We start from the raw sequence: 21,918 nt of genomic DNA on the forward strand, positions 1-21,918 counted from the left end.
ACCTATACCTACCTGCACCCACCTTCACTCACCTGTGCCTACCTGCACCTACCTTCACTCACCTGTACCTACCCGCACCCACCTTCACTCACCTGTGCCTACCTGCGCCCACCTTCACTCACCTGTGCCTACCTGCGCCCACCTTCACTCACTTTTACCTACCTGCACCCACCTTCACTCACCTGTGCCTACCCGCACCCACCTTCACTCACCTGTGCCTACCTGTGCCCACCTTCACTCACCTGTACCTACCTGCACCGACCTTCACTCACCTGTGCCTACCTGTGCCCACCTTCACTCACCTGTGCCTACCTGCGCCCACCTTCACTCACCTGTGCCTACCTGCACTTACCTTCACTCACCTGCGCCTACCTGTGCCTACTTTCACTCACCTGAACCTACCTGCACCCACCTTCACTCACCTGTACCTACCTGCACCCACCTTCACTCACCTGTGCCTACCTGCACCCACCTTCACTCACCTGTGCCTACCTGCGCCCACCTTCACTCACCTGTGCCTACCTGCACTCACCTGCACCTACCTGCGCCTACCTTCACTCACCTGAACCTACCTGCACCCACCTTCACTCACCTGTACCTACCTGCACCCACCTTCAGTCACCTGTGCCTACCTGCACCCACCTTCACTCACCTGTACCTACCTGCACCCACCTTCAGTCACCTGTGCCTACCTGCGCCCACCTTCACTCACCTGTGCCTACCTGCGCTCACCTTCACTCACCTGTGCCTACCTGCATCCACCTTTACTCGTCTGCACATGCATATGCCCATAATATACTGTCATAGAAAGTGAGTGTTATAGACAAGTTGGGGGTTAAAACATCCAGAGGCAGGAGCAGTGGGCCTTGATGGCCTGTAGGGAGGGGTCAAAGGAACATTTGAGAAAAGTTTCTGGAGGTGATGTGCTTGGAGATGATACTGGGAATCATCATCAACCTGTACTCTGGGACGTAGATGAGGATCTCTTGGATTAGGGGTGAGATGGAGCTAACGTTTTAAAAATATTAAGCTTAGGAGAATCTAAACAGTGAGAAAAAAGAGAAACTTTTTTCCTCAAAAATGCAACTGCATTGTATGGAGCAGGGAGAGAGAAGTCATGGGCCAACTGAAGCGACAATCAGGAGGATGCACTGGGGGTGTTGTCACCGTGTTTTCTAACAGATTACAAAGCCTCCTTGCTAAAGAACTGACCTTTTAGTTTATACCTGAGTGACACAGGCAGCAGCATTTCCCATAATGAGAAGATGAATGGAAAAAGTATGTCTGAAGCCTTTCCTATCATGTTTAATGAGAGATGAGTTTTTCTCTACAATTTCTTAATGAAATGCTTCAAACATGACTTTTAAATTGAAAGGAAAACCTTATCATTTTGTGTACTCCTGCGGCTCTGCATCCCCTGAGCTGGGATGAGTCAACAGAAATTGTAACACGACAAGGAAGAAGTTTCCACGAGGACGCCTCCTGCAGGTTTGTGCTTACTTTCCCTGATGAAATGATGGCGTCTCCTGTTTCCTCACGCTTGCAGTGTTCACGTTGTTTCCATCGCCTTGAGAGATGCTCCACACTGGTTACATCACTCCTTGGCTGTCATCATCTGTCCGTCTTTGGGGGAAATGACAGAGTGAGGTTTAGAAAGAAATATGTCTGAAAGGATCACATACTAAATGGTCCAAGAAGAATATCAGTATTTTTAAATGATCCAAAATCATGGGCTATTGGACCTTCTGGATATGTGGTCACTCTTTTCATATAAAGGGGAACCATCAGAAGAGTATCCGATGCCTAAAATATTTGCTTTTTCATGTGAAATTATCTAAAGACAAATTGACCAAACAAAACAAAACAAAACAAAAACTCTCCCTCTTATCTGGATTTCATTAAAATAAAGTAAGACTAAAGGTATTTTTTACTTTTTTGTCTGCGTCTGTTCTCAATTAACCGCATAAACACTTCATAAATCTTGCATCAGGGTAATATAACACTGTACAGTGCATTTTAACTGGAATATTTTGTTTTCTGAGTGCTGTGGAAGGTGGAAACCGCTGAGCCCTGGCTGGGGCAGAGCCTGCCAGGCCACATTCTGGAGTTTCTGGAGCATCGCAGGTGAATTCTTTGTCCTGTGTTGGTGCAGAGAAGGGGTTTCAAAGTCACGTGGAGTTACTTCCAGCTCTGACTTCTTGCTTTTCTAAATTTTCTTGGTCCTGTGAAATAAAAATGAGCTTTCTTAAGATTCATTTTTTATTTCCCTCCAGTGAAAATGTCTCTTATTTCCTCTCATTCTCCTCCTCCCTTCCCCACATACCAAGACACTTAATTGAGGGTTTAAGCTTGTTGGCTAATAGCTAATCAATGTTTTCTTTGACTTGGGAATATGGATAATGTGTTTATACTATTTGTAACCTACTTTTTCCTAAAGGGAAATGAGGTAGTACACACACACAAAAGCAGCAAGAAATGTAAAACAATAAAAATGGAAATTTGGGGTCAGGGAAGGTAGAAATTAAAGTACAAAATAAAAAATGAATAACAAAATAATCCAGTAAGTATATCACCAAGCTTGACTACTATCAAGCTTCATAGTTTTCTCTGAGCTTCCTGCTAGCCAAGAGAAAAGGGGATGAATGGAACAACTGGTTCCATAATTCTCATTTTCTCAAAGAAAATCCAAAGTATTTCTAATCCTTTTGACGAAGAATATTTTATAAACCTGAATTTTGAGCAGCACCTCACACAGGGGCAAGGGGAATAGCTGAATTAAACATCAAACAGAATGGTGATTTTCATGGGATAGTACTTGGTAGCATTGTTCAAGAAAATCCAAGCACGTGACATTAAAACAACTCAGTGAGGAGGACTCCATGCAGACATTGTGGTCCAAGAACAAGGCATATTGGTAGAGGGAATAATTAGGAGAATCTGATATACAGCATGGTTACATAGGGAAATGTCATATTACTTCTACAGAGACTGTCCCTTGTGGTGACTGACAAAAGACATAATGAAAACCGTCTGTTTAGATGGGGAAAATGTAGGTGGAGCTACTGCATTCTCACCTGGGAACACTGAGCTCACATGTGACTCATAGGGACACATCTAACCTCTTGAGTAGATTAATGGCTTAGTTGACAGGGACTGCTTAATTTAAGAGTGATATCGTGGGGGTTGCCCAGGCAGAGTACTACATGTCTGGCTGTGATTGAGACTAGGCCTCTCAGGCAGAGCTTTTAATATGCCTTTGACAGAATGTTACACCTTGTCATGCCTCAATCTTTTTAATCGTTGCTAATGATGATAATAAAAATAATGGCAATATTCAAGGCAGAGGCGAACAAAGAAAAGGCAATGACTCGTAGAGTGGATTGAGGTGTTGTGGAAAGAAAGCCCAGGCTGGAAATGTGGGGGCTACTTCTGGCATTGGCTTAAGCATGGTATATACAGGTGATTCTTTTACGTCTCCCATTTTTCTAATTTGCAAGAGAGGCTATTGTAGTGGTTCTCCAACTGTCAGCTTTTGGCCAGCAGCATTGGTATCAGCAGGGAACAAAATAAAAAATGCAAATTCCTGGGCCCCAGACCTACTGAGTCATAAACTCTGGGAATGTCTCTCCGTGATTTGTTTCTTGATTACAGGTATGAGCCACCGCACCTGGCCTGAGCAGTTTGTTTCTTAACAAGCAGTCTCAGTGATTCTGATGTATGCTCAAGTTTAAGAACTATTGGGCCTTTGAGTTAAGTCTCCTTCTATATGTGTGCTAGATTGATATAAAAATGGCCCCAATTCTCCATCCCTCTTTGTATCTATACCTTTTGCAAGCTACTCCTGTTAGGAGGTAGAGATCTTGGATATTCTTGAATATTTGAAATTTGAATTCTTGAATATTCTCGAATATTGAACATTCTTGAATATTTACTGCTCTTGCATCTTGCTTTGGCCAATAGAATGTGGCAGAAGTGATGGGGTGCTGTTTCGAAGCTACTCAGTTCTCTTGCTCTTTGTTTCTGTTTCTGTCTCTCTTGCGCTCAATTTTTCAGAACCTTGTACAGTCCTGAGAATGAGCCTGGACCAACTTGCTAGAAGATGAGAATGGGTATGAAAGAGAGCTGAGTCCTTCCTACACAGGACATCGTAGACCAGCCACCTCCAGCCAGCCTGCTAGTTGACCAAGGTGCATAGGTCAGCTCTGCCTGATAGAAGTTGGGCCTTAGTCCAGAGGACATACTAAGCCAATCTACAGACTTGTAAACTAAAACAAATGGACATTGCTTTAAACCACTGAGTTCTGTGGTTGTTTGTGATATAGAATTATTATGGTAATAGATAACTGGTACATGATGGAAATGCTACAATTCTGGAAATCTAAGTGTCCTGACCTTAGATTTGTGTTAGGAATCTCAAAATCACATAAAGCAATGTAACTTTATTTTTCTTTAACCAAATGTGTTTTATCTTCTGAGCCCCTATTCTATTAGGAGGTGGGAAATTATTTGTTTGTTTGTTTTTAAGACAAAGTCTTGCTCTGTCACCCAGGCTGGAGTGCAGTGGCACAATCACAGCTCACTGTAGTGTCAACCTCCTGGGCTCAAGCATTCTTCCACCTTAGCCTCCCAAGTAGCTGAGACTACAGATGCATGCTACCATGCCTGGCTAATTTTTAATTTTTTTTGTAGAGATGGGTCTCACTATGATGCTCAGGCTGTTCTCAAACTTCTGGGCTCAAGTGATCCTCCTTCCTTGGCATCCCAAAGAGCTGGGAATACAGGCATGAGCCACCATGACCTGCCAGAAGTTAGTTATTTAATTTCCAGTTAATTCCAGATAATCTAGATCAATATGTTTATGTTATCTTTATGTAAATTTTCATCAATAACTCCTGTTCTTCTCTTCCTCTGGGTGCATGAGAAGATGGCACTTCCTTACCTCCTTGAAGTTAGGTATGACAATATGACAGTTTCCCCCAATGCAATGTGAGCAGAAATGAGTCACTTCTGGGTGGAAGCATTGAAGAGTTTGTATGCAATTGTCCGTGTTCTCTCTTCCTTTACCTTCGGTTGTGGAAGGACATATTGACAGACAAATACCTCAAAATTGAAGTAGCCTCAGATGCTGTGCTGCCACATGAATCACAGATTCCCCAGAGAGTTTTCTGGGCCTAGAGTTGGCTTTTCATGAACAAGAATAAGCCTTCATTTCCAGCCATTAAAGTTTGGGACTGTTTGTTACCACACCATAGCCTAGCTTATCCTGACTGATACACCAACTTTTCTCAGTTAACTAAGGGTCTTTCTTCCCTGCTTCAAATTCTTTCTCCTAATGTATTAGTTTGCTAGGGCTGCCATAATCAAATGCCAGAGACAGAGGGTTTAAACAACAGAAATTTATTTTCTCGTAGTTATGGAGGCTAGAAGTCCAAGATCAGGGTGTTACCAGCTTGATTTCCTCTGAGGCCTCTCTCCTTGGCTGGCAGATGGCTGCCTTTTCCCTGTGTCCTCATATGGTCTTTTGTCTGTGCATGTACCACAGCCTGGTTTCTCTCTGTATCTCCATATTTCTTTTTCTTAACTGCTCAACATCACTAATCATAAGGGAAATGCAATTCAAAACCATAATGAGATGATATCTCACACTAGTCTGAATGGCTATTATTAAAATGTCAAAAAATAACAGATACTGGTGAGGTTGTGGAGAAAAGAGAATGCTTATACACTGCTGGTGAAAGTGGAAATTAGTTTAGCCACTGTGGAAAGCATTTTGGCAGTTTTTCAAAAAACTCAAAGTAGAATTATCATTCGACTTAGCAATCTCATTACTGGGTATATACCTAAAGGAATATAACTTGTTCTGCCGTAAAGACACACACATGTGTATGTTTATTGCAGCACTATTCACCATAGCAAAGACATGAACTCAACGTAAATACCCATCAATGGTAGACTGGATAAAGAAAATGTGATTATATATATACATATATATATATATATATATATACACACATATACATACACATACACACCATGGAATACTATGCAGCTATAAAAAGGAATGAGATCATGTCCTTTGCAGCAACATGGGTAGAGCTGGAGGCTGTCATCCTAAGCACACTAACACAGGAACAGAAAACAAAACACCACATGTTCTCACTTATAAGAGGGAGCTAAACACGGAGTACATACGGGCACAAAGAAGGGAACAACAGACACTGGGGCCTACTTGAGGGTGGAGGATGGGAGGAGGGAGGGGATCAAAAAACTGGGTGAGGAAACAATATGTACACCAAACACCCGTGACATGCAAATTACCTATGTAACACATCTACACACGTGTCCCTGAACCTAAAATAAAATAAAATTTAAGAAAAAAGAAGAAATTTCCAAAAAACTCCCAAATAATTTCTTTTTCTAATAAGTCTAATAGTCAAATTGGATTAGGGCCCACTCTAAGAATTTCATTTTAATGTAATCATTTTTAAAAGACCCTATCTCTAAATATAGTCACTTTCTGAGATACTCGGGGCTAGGGTTTCAACATGTGAATTTTGGGGGAACACGGTTCAGCTCATAACACCATGGAGAGGCATGCATGTTCTAAGGGGGTATAGGTAGGACTGCTGTAGGGACAGGAACAGCAGTGACTTGAATGTCCATCGTGTATACTGGCTTCCAGTGGAGGGCGGTCCTGAATATTGCCACTGGGTCTCTGGCTGCACAGTTCACATGTATGGTTCCTGCATTCTGTATGTCTCGACCCAGTTCATCTACCTGCTCTCGTGCGTGTTGCATTATTTCCGGCCACACAGAGAAACAGAGAAAAAGGCCACTCTGGGCACACTGGTCTGGACAAGCCTATGTGTTGGGAACTTCCCCAGGCCCAGTTCTATAACTAAGAATGTGTCCACAAACCTCACCACCTCTTTGAGTTCCACCCAGGGAGCAAGCTCCAGCATCCTTTCCTTTTGTATTCTTTGAAATTCTCTGGGGTTTCTATCACTCCCCTCTGTTTGGGGGCTATTCAGCATATGTATGTGTATAAGTCCTGTGAATATGTCTGTGTAGATGGGGGGCCTAACATTCAGCGACCCATTCCTGACATTCCAGGGACCTACAGTTCCACCAGCATCTAAATCTATTTGCTTTGCCTCTTCCTCTCCCAGTCTCTTATTGGATGGGAAAAAATCTTGCTCTACCTTATCATATGTTCATATATATATATATATATATATATATATATATATATATATATATAAAACCTCAAAATTTTGGGCTCAAGCAATCTTCCTGCCTCAGCCTCCCAAGTAGCTCGGATTACAGGCACATACCACCATGCCCAGCTTATTTGTTGTATTAGTCTGTTTTCACACTGCTATAAAGAAATGCCTGAGACTGCGTAATTTATAAAGGAAAGAGGTTTAATTGACTCACAGTTCAGCGTGGCTGGGGAGGCCTCAGGAAACTTGCAATCATGGCGGAAGGGGAAGCAAACACGTCCTTCTTCACATGGCGGCAGCAAGGAGAAGTGCTGAGCAAGAGTCGGGGAAAGCACCTTATAAAGCCATCAGATCTCTTGAGAACTCACTCACTATCATGAGAACAGCATGGGGGAACCGCCCTCATGATCCAGTCACCTCCCTCCCTCAACAGGTGGGGATTACAATTTGAGAAGAGATTGGGGTGGGGACACATAGCCAAACCATATTATTTATCTTATTTTATTTTTGTAGAGATGGAATCTTGCTATGTTGCCTAGGCTGGTCCCAAACTCCTGGCCTCAAGCAATCCTCCCACCTCCGCCTCCCAAAATGCTGGGATTATGGCGTGAGTTACTGCATCTGGCCTTGTTATACATTTTAAAAATTTTTCTTGGATCTTGGCTTTGAAACTCAAAAGCTGAAACTTTGACATTTTTGTCCTTCAGCTCCTCTGCAATACACCTGGCTGGGGTAAGATACACCAATCTCTAGTCTGAATGCAGAAGATTCCCACCATGAGGTGGGAATAAATTACCAGGAATTAAACACACCTCACTTATATAAAAATACTTCCCTCCTCCATTAGAATGCACACATTTGCCCATTAGGATTTCTTCTTCTGACACCAACAAAGAAGACTATAAATTACATCTTGACAGAATTTAATTTTCATGGTGATAACTGAAAAGCTTTGGTTTATAAACCATATTCAGGGTCCAGAAAGAGGGGGAGAGTTACTTGGTTTTAGCCAACCATTGTGAAAATTAAAGTAGTTCATCTGGATGCAGAGTTTGAAATACCATGTTGAAATAGAGTATTGCAATATAAGAGCAGCACTGATATCACACAAATATTATGAATGCTCCCAAGCAAAGTAAAAACATTTTGAATGCAGAAATGAATTTGTGATTGATATAAAGAAGAATGAATGGAGAATGATCTATAGCATTTGTCTGAAACCTCATAAAGGCAGTATCTGAATACTGGTTGTTCCTGATTTCATTAGTTGTGAATCACTACATGAAGAATGTGTGTCCAAGTTAAACATGAGGGTCTTGGAATTATTTTAAAGAAAAAAATCAATTTCACTCTCTAGGATGGTTTTCTCCTTCTGATCACTGGGTCTTATATGTTGAGATTAGTGTGTTTAACACCTGATTTCTCATTTTCCCCCTGAATCTTCATTTTCCATTGTCATTTGGCCCACTTCTGTGTTTTTTCACATCTTCTTAATGTCTCTCAATGTTGCTTTTTTTTTTTTGGTTGTTCTTTCCAATCTTTTCTTATTTTCTTTCTCTTCAAAAAGGGAATGAAGGAAAAGCCAAGCAAAATATATTTTAAAAATAAGGGATGTGTGTAGGCAAATACTGAGAGATGTAGACCAAGCAGAGATGAATAATTATCAAAGTTTCCAACAACTCTAGCTGTGTTTCTCAACAGGAGGTGACTTTGCCTCCTAGGGGACATTTGAAAATATCTCGTCACAACTTATGGGAGGATCAGCGCCTGACTCCAGAACAAAGAATAATCCAGCCCAAAATGTCAGAATTTCCAAGATTGAGAAATCCTGAATCACACATATGGTTTTTTTTATCCTCTCCAAATTAAAAAAAAAAAAAAGGAATGTATTGCCAGCATTTTACATATAAAGCAGAAAATCTAGATTCTTTTTTTAATTAATCAGGCAAGTGATTAAAAGCCACCTTCTGAGAGAGGGCCTGTACTCTGCAGTGCATCACAGCCTCTCCTTCTAGCTGTATAAGGCAAATTCAAGGTCCAGAAAGAAGGGGGAAGCTACTTGGTTTTAGCCAACCACTGTGAAAATTAAAGTAGTTCATTTGGATGCAGTGTTTGAAATATAGTGCTGACAATGGAGTATTGCAATATACAAAACTCACTTCATTAACTCATATTACTTCCTGGCCCTTGTAGCAAACTGAGTTTGCAACCCTCTGCATTCTAGGGTTGGTACATTATGAACCATGGGCCAAATCTGGCCTGCCACCTCTGTTTATAAATAAAGTTTTATTGGAACACAGTCACACTCACTTATTGCTTTTGTGGGTGCTTTAGTGCTATGTTGAATAGTTGCAAAATGGACTGTGTGGCCTGCAAAGCCAAAAATATTTACACTCTGGCACTTTACAGAAACTTTTGCTGATTCTTGCCCTAATCTGTTGACTCTATTGATTATTAGTGTTAGTCTTTGAACTGAGGCTTCCTGTTGGCATAATTGTTAGTATAGACAAGAAATGACAGTGTGTTTAATCACATAAACCAATGTGGATTTCAATTAGGGGAGCCCAGGCTCAGTCAACATTTTTCATATATTGGTCATTCTAGGAAAACATAGGATTCTCAATTGAAACATGATTAGCTTTCTGAATGGAATACGGGCAAGGCTAAAAGTTAACACAGTCTTACTCTTCTCCCCTGTTGTCAGTGACACATTTACTCCCATTATGATTGGCTCAACATATGGCCTTGTATTTTGTCCACAAAATACCACCTGCTCTGGGCTGTTTGTTAGATCATCTGCCTCAGAAGAAATGAGAAACGGGAAATAGATTTCTTGACCTATTCAGTTTATTGCTTAACCACCACATAATACAAATGTTTCAACTAAGCTTTGTTCATTTATTCATTGGTTTAGTTCAGGGGTCAGCTAACATTTTCAGTAAAGGGCCAGATAGTAAATATTTTTGGCTCTGAGGGTTGGCTAATCTCCATTGCAGCTACTCAACCCTGTCTGTGTAGAAAGAGAGCAGTTGGAGGCAGTCAATCAAACCATGGTAGTGGCTGTGTTGCAATAAAACTTTATTTACAAAAATAGGCAGTGGGCTGGATTTGGCCCACAGCCCGTAATTTCTGACTCCAAATCTGGAGATGCCTTAGTCATAATTGGGAGTGGAGGTAGCAGAGCTACCGAATAATGGAAAATGGCATTTTCTGGGTGATTTCTCATTTTCCATCCTCACTTTTTATTTGAAAATGCTTCCTCTTCTTTCCTTCCTCCAGTGGCTCAGGGGCCTGCTGTTGAGGGAAGAGCTGGAGTGAGATGAGCAGGTGAATTCTATTGTGGATTATGAAGCTAGTTCAGTAGAAAGGGAGTGCCACCTAGATTGGAGGGGAGTGAGACGAGGAAACACCTTCCGGTTCCTGAAACAGGAGAAGGTAACATCTCTTGTAAGGAGAGGAAGACTGGTGCCTGCTTGCAGCTGAGGAGCTGAGTCTGCTCGAGACTCCCCAGGTCCCGGAATCCTCCCATCCTTGCATCCTTCTCTTCATCCATCTCCGCAGACATCTCAAATGTGTCCATTCCCCATGGGATATGCATCCTGGGAAGTGCCCAGTGATAGCTAACTCTACCAAGGGGATTTGCTTTTTGTTAGGGACTTTCAAAGTCTTTTCTGTGGTTTATTTTCTTCTGACTCTAATACTTATATAGGTTTTTCATCAAAATTTGGCAACTAATGAAAATGTATGTTTGAGCATCACTTATTGAGCATCACTTTTACTCAGAAATGTGCAAATTATTAAATATGAGCATGTGTGTGTCCATCTACATAACACACACACACACACACACACACACACACAGAGGCACTCACCCAGTCACCTAATTTTAAGGACTCCTAACAAATCTCTGAGGTACCTAGTTTTAAGCAGGTAGAAATTAAGCAGCTTGCCCAAAGTGGATACCGTAGTAAGATTTTAAACACAGCCTTGCCTGATTCCAAAACTCATATTCAGCTTTTTTAGGATACTAGTCTATCTTTAAGAAGAAAGAAAAAACTATCGGCCGGGTGCAGTGGCTCACGCCTGTAATCCCAGCACTTTGGGAGGCCAAGGAGGGTGGATCTCGAGGTCAAGAGTTTGAGACCAGCCTGGTCAACATGGTGAGACCTGCGTCTCTACTAAAATTACAAAAATTTGCCAGGCATGGTGGTGGGTGCCTGTAATCCCAGCTACTCGGGAGGTTGAGGAAGAGAATCTCTTGAACCTGGGAGGCGGAGGTTGCAGTGAGCCGAGACCACGACACTGCACTCCAGCCTGGGTGACAAGAGCAAGACTCCATCTCAAAAAAAAAAAAAAAAAAAAAAAAAGAGAAAAAACAATCACCCATACTGTCCCTCAGACGAAAAAGCTGCCACCTTTTGCGGTGTTTTCCTCCAGTGTTTTCATTTTTTTCTTCTATTTGTTAAAGCATTTTTTAGATCATGTTGCAAATATAATTTTATTATCTTGCTTTTTTCACTTTATTATTTAAGTATCATTTTAAAACCTCTTTGTAAGTATCCTCTTAATGGTATACTATTTCTTCATATAGGTATATTGTAATTCACTTAACCAACTCCTCTCTGCTGAACATTGCGGTTATTGCTAGTGTTCTCACTGTTTTGAATAAAGAGGCAATGGATACCTTTGAGTATGAAAAAACTTTCCCTCATGAAACTTCCATAATCTGAAAAGCTATCCAGAAACATGGAAATGCTATTCTTTGAGAGAGGCAGGTGACATAAGTGAATCACTCACTTTGGACGAAAAATTTAAGGGGGCACCAAAAAAAATCTTCGTTATTAGCATATAATAGTATAACATTAAAACATTAAATTAATATTAAAATCTCTAAATCCATGAAGAAGAAAATATCAACGTCTTAGATAAAGGCAGGGTCAGTATTACTGAGTTTTTCCTTTAGCCTTAGGCTCCGAGCTGGCCATGCACAGTGCTGTTACTGACTCCATTCAGGCCGTGGGGAGGACATAATTGGTGTCTGGAAGGAGAAACTCAGAACTACCTTTATTATAATTTATTATAATTATTGTGCCCTATGGGAAGCTTTCTTCTGAAAAGGTTCAGTGTGATGGGCCCAAAAACAGACTCTGGCAAAGACTGCTTGGTTTTAAACCCCAACTATGCCACTTACGAACTGTGGGACCTTTGTCAAAATAATTCCACTCTCTGGACCTCACTTTCCTGATGTACTGCATGGAGATGATGATAATCATTTATCCCTCCCAGTGGATGAGAGGACTTAGTGAGTCCCTTAGAACAGCGTCTGGCTTGTATAAAGACTCAGTAAATGTTCCCTGTTCTACTGCTGCACTGTGAGCCTGCCCCCGAGCTGAAGGCAGCCTGCAGACCTGCTTGCTTTACTCCATCTGGCATTGTTAGATTTTTTTTTAAAAAAATTAGTTGCCAACATTCTAAAATCGCTAGATTTCATGAAAAAATCTGATTTTTTTTCCCCTTATGAAAATCAGAAGACCTGGCAAACCTGGGGCTAGCTATGTCTTCCGTAGTGGTAACATTTAGTCAAATCTGCAAACCAGAAGATGGAAGTTATCTCCAGTTTACCCTGAACTAGGGTTGCCAGAGTTAGCAAGTAGAAAAGATATGACATCTGGATAAATTTGAATGTCAGACAATTTTTTTTTAGCATAAGTATATCCCATGCAATATTTGGGATATACTTATACTAAAAGACTGATTTATTGTTTTTCTGAAATTATGAGACATATGCTAAAAATCATTTGTTTATCTGAAACTCAAATGTCACCAAGCATCCTTTATTTCTCTAACTCTTCCAACCCTCCCTCTCCGCCTATACTTTACAGCTTCATTGGCCTGTGACTTCCACTTAACCTCTGTAGACATCAGTATGGAGGACCTTGGGATCACATATAAAAATCCCAGCAGAGGTCATCTTCCATAAGTAGCACTGTGTGTCATCACTGCAGTGCAGTTTTAAGCTATTTAATAAACTTCCCTCAAGTCTGGCGGCCTTTCCATGATAAAACTGGGGGAAGGAATCCAATCACCTAACACCATCTCAGCACCATTGAGTGAGTTCCTTGAGCAAATGCTCATGCGTGGACGTGAAGTTAGAAGAAGGCGGAGCTTTCTACGTTCTCTCGCTGCTGCTTTCAGATAGGGAACCAGGTCTGAGAACATTCCCGTTGAAGTAGCATCTCTTAGGGCCAGGGCATGAAGGATGGTGATGTTTTCCTACCTCACGTTGAGGGACCCAGCCAAGCAGGGCAGGTGCTTTTAAGAGCCACCCATGTCCCTGCTTGATCAAAGTGAGAGGTAGATACCATTAGCATGGTTGCTCTGTGTATAGACTGAAGATTATCTTTCTGGCTTCTATCAGATGGAAACACAGATCTTAGCAGGCAGATCAGGATCAGCTCAAGCAGCATCTCTCCACTTCGGCACTATGGAGTACTTCTTTGTAGTGGGGACCGTCCTGTGCATTGTAGGGTGTTCAACAGCATCCCTGACCTCCACCTACCAGATGCCAGTAGCGAATCCCCTCAGCCCTCATCTCCTTGCCATAGTTGTGTCAACCAAAATCATCTCCACACATTGTTAGATGTTTACTGGGAGGCAGACTCACTCCCACTTGAGAACCACTGTACTAGAAATATCACCAAGAGAATGGAGTAGGCCACACACGCCTTAATCCATTTATGCCGGAGGTTGCAAATTTTTTTGTGTGTGAAAAATCAGACCTTGGCGATGATCTTGAGCAGTAAGATATAAATAACTCCCACAAGCTTAGCGTTCCAATAATGGAACACTAGGCATATGTAGGTTTTAAGGGCTGCAGTAACTTAATTGTGTGAGTCAGTTTTAAGTTACTGGGGTGGCGGTGTGTCCCCAGAGCTGCAGACTGGAGGTCTCACCAAAAGTCCTCAAATCCCATTCCCAAAGTTGTTGGCCAAATAAAACTTTTCTGTAGGCAGAATTTGGGCTAAGAGAATCCAGTTTGCAACTCTTGAAATGGAGACATTCGCTTAGCTGTTCTTTGGTTTATGGTGCAAATGATGATTTGTTTCACTCCTGTTTGTGTGTAACCGAATGGGAAGGCTCAAGGTATCTCTTGCTTTGTGAACACCTCTCTCTCTCTCTACTCATTTCCACTCCCCAGCCCTGACAAGTGCTGCTTCTCACGGTGGGGTGATTTTGCCCCTCTCTCTAGGGGACACGTGGCAATGTCTGGGGACAGTTTTGGTTGTCACAACTGGGGGATGGGAGTGCTATTGGCATCTAGTGGTAGACGCCGGCATGCTGCTAAACATCCTACAGTGCACAAGACAGTTACTGCAACAAAGGATTTTCCGACCCCAAATATTCCCAGGGCTGAAGCTGAGAAACCCAGCTACAGCAGGCAGGAATGTGTGGCTCACCTCAGCACGCTAAGTGAGGAGCTTTTCCTCAGCACTCTGAGCACCTGGGGGTTCAAAGAACTTGCCTTGGGTCTGTAGCTGGGGAAGAATCAGTCTGTGGACTCCAGGGAGGGACATTTTCTTTTCTTTTCGTTTTGCATTTGTGCCCAGAAACAGCAAGGCCAGCAGTTTTGTAAGGATACAGTTTCTTATGTAAACTTTCCTTTCTTTTGTTGAAGGTTTGGATATTCTACAGAAGTTCACCTGGGCTTCAGATTCGCACCTGATCCTAATCTCTGATTAACACCATCAGATAAAGAGATTCTCCTAACATGTTGGGGCCATAGACTAAGGAAGTTTAGCAAGTCTGGGAGGTGAGAAATCTAGGGGCAGTGTGGAGAGAAAAATAGACCCAACTAAATTTCAATATACAACCCTACATCATCTCAGCATTATTTTCCAAACACCATTTCCCCTCTTTATGCAATTATAAATGTGGACCAGCCTTTGATAACCAATAAAGTAGCTGATGCAATATTTTCTTATCCCCCTTTTGCCTTCTGTTCCCTTTGAAATATTATTTGGTTCTATTTTTTTTTTCTCCTGGTACCCTCTGTCTCTCTTCGTTTTTTTTGTGTGTGCATGTGACCACAATTGTAGTTTCAGTAAATAAAACGGCCGCTTGATAACGTGGAACGGCCCAGCGCTTAACTCTGCCTTTAGAGATCCTTTACATCAAACCAGCAATCAAAAAGTGGTGCAGATAAAATTTGTCATCAGGGATTTCCTACAAAAGAATTACAGTGGAGAAATGGCCTGATCAATACTATGGATTTTCACTGCAGGGGCTGGTGGTCCAATTGCTGTGAGACACTCACACAGATAAAAGGGCACTGCTGCCGCTCCGTCACAGACTGCTGACTCAGCACAAAGCTTGGCAGGTATTTATAGGCCAGAGTGATACAGAATTATCACCTTGCAGTGCCCGGCTCTTGTTCCTTCCAAGATTGCCTTCCTTTATGGGATTGCTAAATGCAGGTGAATGGAAAAATGATGGCTAACAGCTGTCAAAATGCAACAGAATGAAGTACTTAAATCTTTTTTTATCCATTAAAAGGGTAACAACCATACATATATCACGGCACAGACATTGTAATGATATTTGGGGGCTGGTAAACGAGGGAGTAATAAACAATATATGTTCTGATCAGAACGACTGAGGAAATAGTCTTGGAGGGAAGGTAGGTCTTCCCTGAGCCTTATAATTACTTTAATGGTTGAACATCCCTCTCACGGAAGAAAAACAAAATTGTTTTTGTATCCCAATCTTTGGAAGACCCACTTTCCCCTTATGCTGGCATTTAGAAGGCCTAGAACTATTCCCTATGGCACTTAACCATGCTTACTGCATCCTGAAATTTCTGAAGTTTATTCATGTCAGCTTAATTAAAGCATGTGCAATGATGATAACTGATTTGTAAGATTCTCCAGGTGTAAGGTCTGGGATGCAGTGAGAACTTTCTCTTGGGTTGTTTTTAACCTCTGCGTTCCAGTTGAATTTCAGATGTGCCATAGACAGAGCTTCTTCGGAGGTGGAGGAGAAGGCACATTACTGCTCTCCCACGAGGTGGGGTCATTCTGGGGAAGTTCTCAAAGCTCATCATCTCAGCTCTGGGGCTCCTTAGCCATGACTTACATAGATGAAGTTAGTACAGTTGTCCTGATTCCCAATTAATGCTTCCTCAAGGAACCCCCCTGGAAAAATCTTACCAATCCTTCTAGACCCACCCATCAATATTTGTCTTATTTTTCATTTAGTGAGAATCAGCTCCCAGAAAGATTCAAAATAGCACTTATGGTGGCCTTGTAGAATCTTGGCTTGTTTGAGAGTAGGCTGTGTGTGTGTGTGTGTGTGTGTGTGTGTGTGTATGTGTATGTATGTGTGTGTGTTTGTTTTGTCTTCTCCTTTCCCTAATGCATTTTATTTAAAATTTTCAATGAACCATTTTTTTGATGAACTTGAACATTAAAAGAAAAATGTTTTCCTCATTTTCTTCAATATTTAAAAAGTACTGCAAAGCACAAGGGAAATGAACCAAATATATAGAATATCATCAATAACAAGGCATCTGGACATTAATTAATTCTTCATTTTGGAACACCTGTGGCGAGATGGGCCTTGTGTAGGATGTCGCAGAAACACAGGGAGTATAACAGGCTTTCAAGGAAAAAGAGCTTATGGAAAGGAGGACAAGGAAAATATTTATTGAATGGATTCTTTGTGCCAGATGCTTGGCATATGTTATAATGAAATAGCAAACAGCCATAAAATGCTAAGCAGATTCCCAAGTGCTTCATTGACTCATGGGATCCTCATAAGAACTCTATGAAGCAGTGTTATTACCGTCCCCACTTTACAGATTAGGAAATTGAGGCAACAGAAGGTTGATTAATTTGCCAAGATCACTTGGCTTGGAATAGAGGAGAGGGGACAGCCAGGTGACCTTGAAACTCCTTGGTGATTCAAGAATCCCAGCTCCTAACTGCAGAGCTACATAGCTTTTCATTTTGGAAGCTCTCTCATCTCACCCTTAAAATAGTGACATGAAGTGGGCAGTCCTGTTGAACCAATAAGAAAAGCTTAGAAAAGTTGCACATCTTCCCCAGCCAGGTAGGCAAAGAGCTGGGATTTGAACCCAGGTGTGGCTGTCTCCAAATTTTCTGCTACTTTTACTGTATCATTTACAGTGAACCTACCAAGCAAACAAGATTCTGCAGCTTCTAAATTCAGAAAACAAAATGCAGGAAGTGCAAGCCATAATGTGCAATCTAGGGAAAAGAATTTAATTTCAGGAAGCATGCCACTGCTTGGAAGGAACATTAACAAGACTTTTGTATCCAAATCGTCCCTGGCCAGTTTTGGGTAGGACTCAAAAATGTAACCCACACCTTCTGGAACTGTCCATGGGGAAATCATCTTTGTGCTTGTTTGAACTGCCTTATCCTGGTAGAAATCATTGCTACTATCATCACAGCATTGTTGTATGGAAGTTTACTGTCACTGGCAATAAACATAGATGAAAGGAGGGGGGAATAAGAAAACAAAAGGGAAAAATAGAAGCAAAAAATGCACCAGAGTGAAAAAAATATCCATAAACTCGTTGTTTTTTGTCTCTCTTGTTGCTCTGATGTGCACAAAGGAAATAGACGGAATAAAATCACATCTCAGGAACACCAACATAAATTCCCCCTTGCTTTGACAAGTACGTAATTTTCTTCAGAGATGCTCTTCACGTCTGGAGAGTTATGAGGCAATTTCATTCCCATCTGACAAATTTACAAAGAAACATTAGAGAGAAGGGATTAGGAAAGCGAGAAATCTTTATAGACTTTTTCCTCAGGCTGTATTTCCCTTCCATCTCTTGGCTCTTCCTTGAGGACCAGGCATGAATGCCTCACACAGTGTGGGCCTCATAACCAAGACACTTAGGAGAGAAACAAAACATGAAATGTGCTTTCAATCAACTAATTGTATTTACATTATTGGGGGATGGGGGTGGCACTTGGGGACCAGAAGATTCTTATTGGCAAACATGGAAGTGAAGTCTCTGAGGTATGGATTCAAAATGGTATTTGTAAAATTGGACTTTGAAAGAAATGCAGAAAGAGAAAGAGGGGAGGGAGAGAGAAAGAAAGGGAGGGAGAGAGAACTGAATGTCTAAGAAAGTTTGTGGTGCAAATAAGCATTTCAGGATGATCACAATACAGGATTAATAATAGCAAAGCATATGTATTTTTTTCCTTGTAGGATTATAGATGCTAAGGCAACTTGGAGTTTTTCTCCTTTTAAAACATCTCTGTTGCTAATTTCATTGTGCAGCTTTCAGAGTGACTAACCATACCAGTTTGACCAAGACTGTATTGGCTGCAGCACTTAAAAGCTCACATCCCGGAAATCCTTTGGTCCTCGGTGAATTGGGATGGTTGGTTACCCTATTACTGATGATTGTAATTCTCAGGTAAGTTACTTGAGTTTTGGCAGCTGTTAACTTTCCTAAATATTTGCAACCTTGAATTATTCACGTTTGGTCTCTGTTAACTGGCAAAGTGAATGTGTACACACACATACTACACATATACATAAACTTGTAGTTTGATCATTTGGGGATTCTAGTAAAGTCTTCAATTAAGGTCACTGTGAGGGCTTAGAATTCTGAAGGAAAAATCATAATAAGTGCTCAGAAGTTCAGGAAACGTTATTTTTTTTCCTGGAGTTGAGATTAAACATAATATAATGCAGATGCTGTCGGATACGGAACCCAAATGACAAATGTTTTATAACTGGGACTTAGGGAATGGAGAAAAGTAAGAGATACATAGCTTCCAAGACCTTAGTTGAGAGCCGCAAAGCACCCATAATACTGTATGTATAATTTGGCAGGAGAAAGGTGAGATATTTGTGCGTGTATTACTATTGTGTATTTTTTAGAGTACAGCTGGGCAGCCATGTTTGTGATTTACTGGCCATATCAAAAGACTGAAATTGAACCTAATCTGTATAATTTCAGCTTTCTGTTCTTTAAGTTTTTTCACTTGTAGTCACAATTTAAGTCATTTGCATTTTCTAAAAATTCTATTTTTGGTGATACTTGTTATTTTCCTTCTTTAAAGTTACAAGAAAATCTTTATTGTTTACCTTCCTGTGAAATGGTGATTTATATTGGAATGGGATGTCCAAAACCTTTAGGACAGAAGAGAAACCAAGCATTTATTTTGCCAAAAAAATCCCCAGAGATCTTGCATTTTGGGGTTTAAGTTTAACATCCTAAAACCAAATGTTGAAGTTGAATTTGGATGCGATCTCTCTTGAAACTCTCACAGTCAAACTCTCCCTTTAATCCGTCTGCTGAATATGAAAAACGGGGCTTCTTTGAACTGTAAATGCTTCTTTTTGCCTAATTTAGAGAAATAAACAATGATAAGTGATGTTCATCTATAGAGAGACTTGGTCCAGAGGCATATGAAAGTTGTGAGTTGTCTGTACTGGCTACCCTCTGTAAAACCTGCCCTGTACTTTATAGAGGACAGTCTATCCCAGTATCACCGATAGGATGTACAGATGGCTTTTTGCTTACAAGCAAGCATAAGTACAGTGTTGCCGAGAAATTAGATTGAGCATGATGAGAGATATAAAAGTTTAAAATATCCCCGGTGGAAAAATTTTTTTCTTTTTATTCTGCATTTGAATCTTTTAAATACTGTAACTTTTGGGGGAAAGTTATTGAGACATAAAAGGAATATTTGAACTGCTTTGGAGTTTATGATAACCACTGTATAATACATTATCTTGAAAGCCTTTATAGTACACAGTTACAAACTTCCAGGAAATCTATTAAAAGGCAGCATTAATTAACATAAACTTTTTATAGTGTTACTAATATTCTGCAAACAACTAAGAGTTTAAAAGCCCTTTTTACAGGCATTTCTTGCTGCCTATACACTATGATCAGCATGAATTACAGGAAACACTAAAGGAGTAGAAAGAAATGAATTTTCATTGCTTGTTCTAGATGGGAAATTCACCTCAATATCTGTCTTTAATTTGAACAAGTGTGAAGACAAGGTACTCACCAGTTTGATTAGCATCCTCTTTGTAGACTTGTACAGCTGACCGAAAGCAAAACACTGATGCTTCAATATTCATTCTCCCAACGGATGATAAATAGCATCTTTGAAATGACTTTAGAAAACAAAAGGATTTCCTTGAATCCTGGGAGATAGAGTTTGGCTGTATCCGCTCACAAAACTTTTACGATCTCATCAGTGGGTTAGTCCATGATACAGGCTACATTTAGACACTTACAGATGTGTCAAGTGGTTCCAGAAATGAAAGTAGTATTTTAATTTTTTTTTGATGTCTGGTTCCCAGTTGCACTGGCAAATCTCTGAAACCTGAATCTTGACCTTTTTTAGAGTGATGTTTTTCATTTCTGTTTTGAATTCCAAAGGGGAGGAGGCCTTTCAGTCTCTGTGCCCAAAGGGCAAAACTGTCTCCATTTAGGATTGAAATGAAGATGACCTGGGCCTGAGTTATCTAGTCATAATTATTTCCTGACTCTCTGTATTTAAATATTTCTGCTCTAACGTGAATTAAGCAAGGTTTCTTTGCTTCCTCTTTGCAGTGCAGTCTGCTGTTTGTAAATACTAGAATGGTGATTCTGGCCAAAGATTCCTCGCTTTCTTAGGTCTTTGGTGTCATCTGGGTGCGACTGATGATTTTCTATTTTAGTAAATACTTTACACTCTTACTTTATTTTATTTTATTTTTTTAAATAAAATGCTTTCCAGATCCCTTGGAGGCAGAGTCCTCCAACATTTTGTTGCCATTCTGCTGTTCCCTCTTCCCACAACATCACCTGATTCTCAACCCATATGGTACTAGGATTTCACTGTGATAATCATAAAACAGATTATTATGCATATACATTATTTGCTGCGTACATTTTCTCCATTAAGTTTTTTGTTTATTCAAGAGATATTTACTTGAGGAGCTCAGTATTGGCCCTCCCATTTTATCCCTTTTCTCTATTTATATTGTCATCTATACCTCTTATCTTTGCTTAGTGGGTATTGTGTGCCAGGTATTGCAGAAGTGTTGGTGAACATGACATATGAGCTTGCTCCTTCTGGAGTTTGTCTTCTAGTTAGGGTAGCTATGCAGAGGGCAAGCAAGCAAATGACTAATAAGGTGATAAGTCTATGGAGGAAAGAAACTGATGATGTGTTGGGGTGTGACTGATGGAGAGTTGAGGCAGCATGGCTGGGATGTCATCTGTAAGGAGGTCTCATCATAGCGGGAATTTGAGTGATGAGAAGAAACCCATGATACAGAGATCTGGGGATGAGTATTCCAGGCAGATGGAGCAGTGAGTGCAAAGGCCAGGTGGAAGCGAGCTTGGTGTGGGCAGACCAACGTGGGCTGGTGGAGCAGGATGAACAAGGATGTCAGAGAGTTGGGAAATAAGCAGTGTCTCTAATAACATCTACCCCGTATCAGTGTGAGCCCTGAAAAGACATTACCTCTATACCTTGAAGAAGCCTTGAAGGGAGGTGATTGTTTTCACATTTAGCAGATGATTAAATAGAAGTTCGGAGAGGTGTTGTGGTTTGTCCAAGGTCACACAGCCAATAAATGTCAGAGCTAGAATTCAAATGTAGATTTGCCTGATTCCAATATTTGTCCGTTAAATATATTTTGA

General features: G+C 40.9%; 2 long non-coding RNA genes across 4 annotated transcripts in view; one reads left to right on the forward strand and one right to left on the reverse strand.

Moving 5' to 3' along the window:
• The window catches only part of LOC105372666 (uncharacterized), a 483,513-nt gene that overhangs the window by 213,318 nt on the left and 248,277 nt on the right, over nt 1–21,918 (forward strand). The window lies entirely within an intron of this gene.
• LOC107985427 (uncharacterized) lies at nt 19,402–20,608 on the reverse strand. Its single transcript, XR_001754673.2, has 2 exons — nt 20,291–20,608; nt 19,402–19,614 (listed from the first exon to the last, which is right to left on the reverse strand). It is a non-coding gene; the product is annotated as an uncharacterized LOC107985427 (long non-coding RNA).

This window comes from Homo sapiens, chromosome 20 (assembly GCF_000001405.40).
Source record: "Homo sapiens chromosome 20, GRCh38.p14 Primary Assembly".
In the NCBI taxonomy this organism is placed as follows: domain Eukaryota; kingdom Metazoa; phylum Chordata; class Mammalia; order Primates; family Hominidae; genus Homo; species Homo sapiens.